Here is a 9,374-nt window from a genome sequence, read left to right as displayed (position 1 = left end):
GAAGAGGCACTCCGAGACAGGGAGCTCACCTGTGACAGTGACACGGGAGGAGGACAGGGAAGTGCTGGGTAAAGAAGGCTGGGGTCCCTGGCGAGGGCTCCACCCTCAGGCCTGTGCCCACGTACCTAAGTGAGGACAGGCACTCCTGTTTTCGAGCTCAAATGTTGCGTTTTCCAAGATCACTCTGGCCCACCACACACCCCCATCCCGTGCCTACAAAAACCCCGAGACCCTAGTGGACCCAGACACAGGCAGCTGGACGTTGAGAGGAGCAAATGACAGGAAGAGCACACCGACAGGCACCGGCAGATGCCGGCAGGCAATGGATGGCGGGTGACATGGAATTCAGCTGGGGGCAGTCAGGGGAGAGCCCAGCCGCTGGACAGCCCGACTCCAGGAGAAGACCACCTTCCCACTCCGTCCCCCTTCTGGCCCCCCATCCACCTCACTGAGAGCTAGCTCCACTCAATAAAACCTTGCACCCATCCTCCAAGCCCACATGTGATCCAATTTTTCTGATACACTGAGGCAAGAACCTGGGATAGAGAAAGCCCTCTGTCCTTGCAATAAGGCAGAGGGTCTAATTGAGTTGATTAACACAGGCCACCTGCAGACGGCAAAACTGAAAGAGCACCCTGTATCACACACTCACTGGGGCTTCCGGAGCTGTAAACACTCAACCCTAGATGCTGCCACAGGGTCAGAGCCCAAAATGCTGCCACAACTTGTCCTGCAGGCTCCCCCTGAGGGGTGTGAGCAGCAGGGCACCGAAGAAGTGAGTCACACCCCTGTTGCACGCCCTGCGAGGGGGATAAGGGAACTTTTCCCGTTTCAGTAGGGTAGAGCTGAAAGCATTGTGTAAATTGCCAAGCGCTGTGTCACCATGGGACCAACACCACCGGCAGTGTATGGTAGCACCCGCAAGTGCGGCAGAAGTCACAGGCAGAGAAAGGAGAAGCTGCTGGGATGAACTGCCACTGAGAAACCATGAGGTCTGAAGACTGCAAAAAGGCCACAAAGACCCAGTTCAAAGAAAGTTTTGGCCGTCTTTGATTATTACAGCTTCTTGCAATAGGCATAAAAGGGAAAGAGAAACAGAGGAGCCAGCCACTTTGTCGCTTGAAGCCACTTAAAGACAGAAAGGAAAGGGTGAACTGGGAGGATGAGTGGGAATTTTCTTGAGAAAAAGGGAATTGGAATGAAGATAAGAAGTGTGAGACGCCAGGTCCTTTCAGCGCTACCACTGTCCAGGGGGCCCAGGAACACAGCTCCCGAGCCAGGAGGAATGGGGTGGAGGTCTGAGCCTCCGCTCTGCAACTCACCAAATTCATGGCTCCACTCTGTGCCTCAGTTTCCTCTTCTGTAAAGCAAAAGCAGCCCATGTTTTACAGGAGTGGTAGAAGGATCATACATGTCTCTTGCTCAGCCCGCATTGAGTTAATGGTAAGGGTTTACTATATGGGGCCTATAGAGAGAGAAGTGCAGAAGTTTCCCCTACAAGAAGTGGTTCCCCCTTCCAGGCACAAATCACACATGCTGATTTTCTCTCAGACCTTACCACTCTTTGTCTCAGGTTTTAGTTTCTTTAAGTAACTTCCCAGCTCGCCATCTGGCTGGACTGGACAGGAGGGTCCTATCCTATTGGGGACCCCAGTCCCAGACAGAGGTGCAGTGCCAAGCACACAGACAAGGCAGAGTCACTTGCCCAGCCTTGAAAAGCTGATCCAGATGGGAGACTGAGGGGGATGACTTCTGAGCCCCAGCATTGTCTGATCACTGCTTGCATGCTGCTCCGAGCAAGGGACACCAGGTCAATGGGCCTCAGTGTCCTCATCTGTAAAATGAGAGGCTTGGTCTTCATGTACTCCAGAGGCTTCTCTTGGAAAAGCTGGAGAAGAGGAGTCATTTTCCTCTAGAGTTAATAAACTCAAAAGTTTGGGAAAGGTGCACTCATGGAAATGCCCATTTCAAAGGGGTCAGTAGGTTGCCAGAAGTGGTCAACAAATTTGGCCCCTACATCTCTGAGTAGCTCTGTAGTTTAAAAAATCAAAAGCGCACACACACATACACACACAAAAGCCCTCATTCTTCACCTGAAGCAGGATATGGGGCTCCAGACTAAGAGGGAAGCAATTCAGAAGAGAAACTGGCTCTTCTTTTTCCTCCTTTCTGAGCTCTTTCCTTTCTTGGTGAGCCAAATCCAAATGCCCTGGTCTCTTCAGTAATCCTTTACCTTGAGGAAGTGGCCAAGAAACCTCTCGCCCATCACTGGCACCTGTGCTTTGGAGGGTGCACCTCTAAATCTTACAGAGCCTGGACCAACGCTGGAAGTTGAGTTTGCAAACTTCAACTCAACCAACAGCTACGAAACTCCTACTTCATGTGGGGTGCCATTCTCTCCTTAAAGAGGCCTTGCCCAGACAGAGTATATGATTGCCCTTCCACCTTGCCTCCTCAGCCTTGGCCATGTACCAGTCCACCAGGCTGGTCCTGGTGTTCTGTCCGCATGGGCTGCCATGTCTGCCATCTCTGCTAGACTGTGAGCTCCTTGAGGACAGGAAGAGTGTCTTCCTCTCTGCCCCTTACAAACATGCACATTTTCAGACAGCTTACCCGGAGATGACTAACCCTTGATATGTGTTTTAATTAGGTAATTGGCTTTGGGAAATAGTAGATAGTGGGTACCACTCACAGAACTAAGAAACACAGAAAGGAAGATTTGAGGGGTGAAGACCATGAGTTGACTTGGTGGCACTGAATTTGATTTGCCAACTGAATGGCTAGGTGAAAGGATGCAACAGGTGAAGGAACCCAGAGATGCAGGGGAGGGCTGAAGCTCAGGGGGACTGTTGGGAATATGTTTGAGGTGACCAATTTATCGGGTAAGCACAATGGACATATATGAGATGAGCCTAGAGGAGGAGGATTACCAGGGCACGAGGCTATTCTTCTGGAGAAGTCCATCTCTCAGAGGACAAATAAAGAAACAGGAAGAAGAAGCAGAGAAACAGATATTGACCAATCAGAACTCAGCTGCATCAACCAATCAAAACTAAGAAAATTTCGGTCCTTCCATTGTATACACAGACCTGACTGAGAGTCTCAGAGGTATTGTGGAAGAAAATGGAGGCGAGAGTTTCAAGAAGGAAAGGCTGGAAATTGCAGCAGAATCTTTAATACGGTGGTTTTGAGAGAGGTGTGGAAGGCAAGGGCAGGCCAAAGCCATACGAAAGGGTCACACCAAGAGTCAAGTTCTGCCAATAAACTGAAGAGTGCATGAGGAAAACTGATGTAGCAAAGATTTCTCATGAAAAGCACCTGAGCCTTAGCAAGCTGTCTGTTTTGCAATCTGGAAAGTAAGATTTTCCACGCTATAAGCACAAGTTAGCGAAGGAACAAAGGGTTGATATTTTCCAAGACTTCTTTAAACTCCTTGCTCTAGCACCCCTCCCCCATTCAAGTATGCTGTTTATCTTATAGGAGAAGAGCTAACAGTAACAAATTCCATTATGGAAAGGCTCCACAAAAGGGCAAATTAGGACTCAAACACCCCTCCGGCTTTGTGGCCGGTTGCATAGAGTACAATCGGGTGCGTGGTGCTGAAGTGCGCCCCCGTCCGCCCGCCTACAGACAAAATGGACTTTCTGTGGCTAACTGAGGTGTGCAAAGTTAAAACAGAACCAGGTGACCACAGCTGGATGAGGGAGTGGCCACATACTGTGTGTTATCGGAAAGATATTGTAAAAGCATCACAGGATCTCCTTTTGTACGATGCAGCCAAACCAGTTGCTGCTGTCACTGCCAAGATAAACTGCAGCAAGAAATCCAGCTACCCCTACCCCCACTGGCCATTTTAAAGAAACATCTCACAGAGACTTCCTATGTTTGTCTCAGAAACCAACCAATCAGAGCTCACCTGAACCAACCAATTAGAGATACCTGCCCTGGCCAATCACGGCTCAGTTTTATCAACCCATCAAGGCTCATTTATACTGACCAATCAGAACTCAGTTGCATCAACCAGTCCTTCCATTGCATAGACAGACCTGATTGAGAATCTCAGAAGTATTGTGGAAGAACAGGGAGGCGAGTTTCAAGAAGGAAAGGATGGAAATTGAGACTCCGTCTCAAAAAAAAAAAAAAAAGATAACTGGGGTTTTATCTAAGCAAAATGTAGCCCGTGAGCTTTCATTTATTTATTTAGTCATTCATTCATTCATTCAGCAAACATTTTTGGAGTGCCTACACTGTGCCAGGCACAAGAGAGACTTGAGGAACATTCACAGCAAATCTTTCATTTACTATCCTGAATTATGCAGGTATTAAAACTAAGGCTTGGGTACTTGTTCCAAGTAGCACAGTTAAGCAACCATGGTTTTCCAGTCGGACATTAAAAAATAAGCCAAGGTGTGGCCGGGCGCGGTGGCTCACGCCTGTAATCCCAGCACTTTGGGAGGCTGAGGCAAGTGGATCACAGATCAGGAGTTCAAGACCAGCCTGGCCAAGACGGTGAAACCCCGTCTCTACTAAAAATACAAAAAAAAAAAAAAATTAGCCGGGCGCGGTGGCAGGCGCCTGTAATCCCAGCAACTCAGGAGGCTGAGGCAGGGAATCCCTTGAACTCGGAGGGCAGAGGTTGCAGTGAGTCGAGATCGCGCCACTGCACTCCAGCCTGGGCGACAGAGTGAGACTCCATCTCAAAAAAAGAAAAAGCCAAGCTTTCAAGCCCAAGTAATTACTATTTATCTTTTCCTTACATGTATCAGAAATGCCATAGAGAAATGTCTGTGGAATGACTCTCTGGAGCCATTTGAAGTTTTACTTATTAGGATTTTTCCTTTTCTTTTCAGTTTTTCCAGCTTTTCACAAAGAGTCAAGTATATGCATGTTGCAAAATTTCTGCTTAATAAAACATATTTACTTCTCATGTACAATGGCCTTTAAGGTAATACTTTAGAAGTCCTGTTGAAGTTCTTCACTGGAGACCCACTCTTCACTCCCCAAGCAGGGCTTATTTTTCACAGCAAAAACAAACAAAAACAAAGCTGCTGAAAGTAGGGTGGGAGATTGGGGAAAGCCAAAAGAGAAAAAGAGAGAAGTTTGGGGCTTTTTCTTTTTTTTTTTTTTCCTTTTTTTCTGGCCAAAGCCTGCCTTTAAAGAGAAAATAAAATCTAAGTACTTAACAAAGTTTATTTGCCTGTTTTTTTCTTTGTCATTCAATCTCATATACCCAATTTTCCTAATATCTCTGCAAAATTCAAGCATACGCTTTTTCACCCTTGGTCTTCTCTGCTCTATGAGAAAGTCAGCAGGTAGCCCATCTCAGCCCCAACTGAAGCTGCAGCTAAAATCCCTAGAGTTTACAGGGTACTCAACAGTCGGCCCATATCTTCCTGGAGCTCGCTGCACATGGAAACCTCATGTCCCACTTAGGACAGTTCTGATGATCCTGTCATCTAACCAAACTTTATGGGAGACCTGGAAGAGACACAGGGGTAAGTACCTTCATAAACTGTGTGGCCACCTTGCCTGCGGCTGAATTGCATTGCCTATTATTACAGGTCGCTTGGATTCCCTCTCCAGAACTGAGCCACACTAACCCTCTGCAGGTAGCTGGCCAGAAAGGGAGACAAAATACCAAGTAATTGTCTTTAGAGAACTTTCTAGTGCATAAAACTCTTGTAAAGCAGTAATTGAGATATATTTTTAGACTTTCTCCTGGACCCTAACATTAGCTATCTCTTACTATGCCACATGCTGCTCTTCGTGTTTCTTACATGTATTTACTCATATAATCTTCGAAACAGTCATTAGAAATCTTGCTACCGAAAGCATGGCCCATGGGACAGCAGCATCACCACCATCCAGGAGCTTGCAGAATTTCAGGTTCCACCCTGGGTTCACTAAATCAGAGTCTCCTTTTTTTTTTTTGAGACAGAGTTTCGCTCTTGTTGCCCAGGCTGGATTGTAATGGTGCTATCTTGGCTCACTGCAACCTCCGCCTCCCGGGTTCAAGCGATTCTCCTGCCTCAGCCTCCTGAGTAGCTGGGACTACAGACGTGTGCCACCACACCTGGCTAATTTTTTGTATTTGTAGTAGAGATGGGGTTTCACTATGTTGGCCAGGCTGGTCGCGAACCCCTCACCTCAGGTGATCCACCTGCCTCAGCCTCCGAAAGTGCTGGGATTACAGGCGTGAGCCACCATGCCTGGCAGAGTCTGCATTTTAACAAGCTGATGTTTGTGCATATTCTATTCCAGTTCGAGAAGCACGGCTCTAGTAACTGCTATTATCTTCATTTTATATACAAAGAAACCAAGGCACAGAAAGACTGAGTAACTTGCACAGGAATATGCAGATAGTAAGAGGTAGAGCCGGGATTCACACCCAAGGAGTCAGGAGTCAGAGCCCGTTATCTTTCACACCACAAACATGGCCATTGAATGACTACTTAAATACCTTCCCAAAGTGATTTCTTATTGCCAGCCCTGCATGAGTGAGTCCAGGCCTCCTCCTCCCTGTTGCCGGTGTCTCTCCAAAACACTGCTCTCATTATACTTCCCTGCGTAGCATAGTCTATGTCACCCCAAGACCTACAAGATCAAGTCTAAATGCTTCTTCATAGAGGTGAAGGTCTGTGACAATATGGCCCCGACAATCTTACCCACCTGATCTTTCAGCTTTCCTGCCTTCTCACTCATGTAGTCCAAACCCAGCGGGCAGATCATCTGAGGTCAGGAGATCGAGACCAGCCTGGCTAACATGGTGAAACCCCATCTCTACTAAAAATACAAAAAAATAGCTGGGTGTGGTGGCAGGTGCCTACAGTCCCAGCTACTCGGGAGGCTGAGGCAGGAGAACTGCTTGAACCCAGAAGGCGGAGGTCTCAGTGAGCCAACATCGTACCACTGCACTCCAGCCTGGGTAACAGACCGAGACTCCATCAAACAAACAAACAAACAAACAAACAAATAAATAAATGGGATCATACAGTCCAAACCCAGGATGCCTTTGTATCCTCACACAGACTGAGTATGCCCTCTACCTGGAAGGTTCCTACTCATCCACCTGGCAAAACCAAGGCCTCCTACAAATCCCAAGTGTCATTTCAACATAGAAGCATTTCTCAGCTCCCTTGGCCAAATTTTACCATCTCAGGCCTTCTGTTCTCACAGCATCTAGTTCATGTCGCTTTTGTAAATGCTACCTGTGGTTATAAGTGTATGTCTCTCCTCCAACTCCCAGATGTGGCCTCCATGGGAAGAGGCCATGTCATATCTGTTTTTAACCCACTGTGTCCGCACAGGGCTTTACTCATGATGGTGGGTGCTTCTCCTGTGACTCAATGAAACGTGTGTGCTTCGTAGTTCTACTGAAGAATGGAGAGAACACAGCATTTTACACAAGAAACCCTCTGCTTGGTAGAAAGAAAGAAAGTGCCACCTATTGTGTCTTCCCTCTAATGGTCCTTGGAAGGAGCAGTGCAGATTATGTAATGAAGAGCTTCATTTTAAAAGCCAGCAACTTCCCTAGCTAGTATAGAGAGGAGGTTGAAGAGTGCAGTCATGCTACCATAGCCATTCTCTTTGCATCCTGATAGTTGGAATATCCTGAGGGTCTTGCTCCTTTCTGATCTCAATGTTCTGTGAGCCAAAAATCATAGCATGTGGGAAGCCGACACCCAGATCATTCGGCACTGCGCACCCCAGCCCTTCAGTACAGAGAGGGAATTATTTCAGTTGTTCATAACGTTGGGTCACCAGTTACTTCTAGGTACATTTGCTTTTATTACATTTCAATATCTTTTTTTTTTTTTTGGAGATGGCGTCTCACTCTGTCACCCAGGCTGGAGTGCAGTGGCGTAATCTCAGCTCACTGCAAACTCTGCCTCCTAGGTTCAAGCAATTCTCCCGCCACAGCCTCCAGAGCAGCTGGGATTACAGGTGTGCACCACCACACCTGGCTAATTTTTGTATTATTAGTAGAGATGGAGTTTCACCATGTTGGCCAGGCTGCTCTCAAACTCCTGACCTCAAGTGATCTGCCCACCTCGGCCTCCCAAAGTGCTGGGATTATAGGCATGAGCCACTGCGCCCAGCCACTACATTTCAATATCTTCATGTTGAATCAAATTGCCCTTTAAAATAGGCTTTTGGAAAATCCAGGCACTTTTGGAAGCCCTCCTGAACATAAAATCAACTCCTGGACTATATCCACCTGCATGACAATATTTGTTTTTTGAAAAGTCTCAGATACCAACACTTCCTCCACAATATTCAAAGAAAAGTCAAAAAAACTGTCCAAAGACTGTGACAGAAGAGGGAGACCGAGAGACATCTCTATTGTTTATCACTTGAAAATGTGCTACTTAGAGAGGACATCTGTCGTAAGTATTGTAGTTGGTATTTTAGTTGCCCTGTGAATTGTCAAGCCTTTGTAATATTTCCATGTGGCTTTGAAAAACGGTTATGGAGGAGATGTGCCAGTTCTAGCTCTACTTCTCACATCCTACCATTTAGAGATGGTGGGAACAGTCTGTATTTGCCACAGAACATTCTTTTGCCCAACATTCATGGCAAAAGAGGCCTCCACACCCTCAGCCCCAGATTTGCATCTCACTAGCTCTTGGCCTGTAGGGAAATGAACTGGACAACTCACCACATGCCTTTAACTATGCTCTTCTATGTACCTGGAGTGCCACCTCACACCTGCTCATTTGTCACTGTTCTAAATCCAACTCGTTTCTCAAAGTCTAGTTCCTCTGCTGGCACGGAGTAGACCAGCTCAAGATCTGTGCCATGGAGGGCTGCTCACGCCAAGACCACTGTGAGGTCGTGAAGGCTACTGTTGCCTCCCTTGGAGGTAGAGAACTTTTGAAACTCAATGGTAATTAACATGTATCTGACTAGATGTTTCAAGCATCTGCGTGATAGGAACAAAACTATACCTCACTTGTATCTCCCCATGGTCCCTGGCACATAGCAAGTATTCAATAAATGTTTATTGGATTAACTGGATGAATACAGTCCCCTGCACTTAAATGAATATTAGTTTGTGATTATACACAACATTAAAGTATGTTTAAACATATATATTACTAGTTCCTAAGTGCAATTTAAATATTACCTTATTAAAATGAAACAAATTCAAACGAGTAAGATAATAGTGAGAAGAGTCTTACACACAAAATCTTGTTATATTATTAGGAAAGTAACAGTAGTTCCAAATAAAATGGCACATAAATAACCCATCCAGTGGGTATGGAACAGAAAGGCTGTAAACCCAGGTGTATTAGTCCATTTTCACACTGCTGATAACGACATACCCAAGACTGGGAAGAAAAATAGGTTTAATTGGACTTATAGTTGCACAT

This window comes from Homo sapiens, chromosome 15, assembly GCF_000001405.40.
Source record: "Homo sapiens chromosome 15, GRCh38.p14 Primary Assembly".
NCBI lineage: Eukaryota > Metazoa > Chordata > Mammalia > Primates > Hominidae > Homo > Homo sapiens.
The sequence above is the reverse complement of the archived record's forward strand: the minus strand, read 5'-3'. Positions refer to the sequence as shown.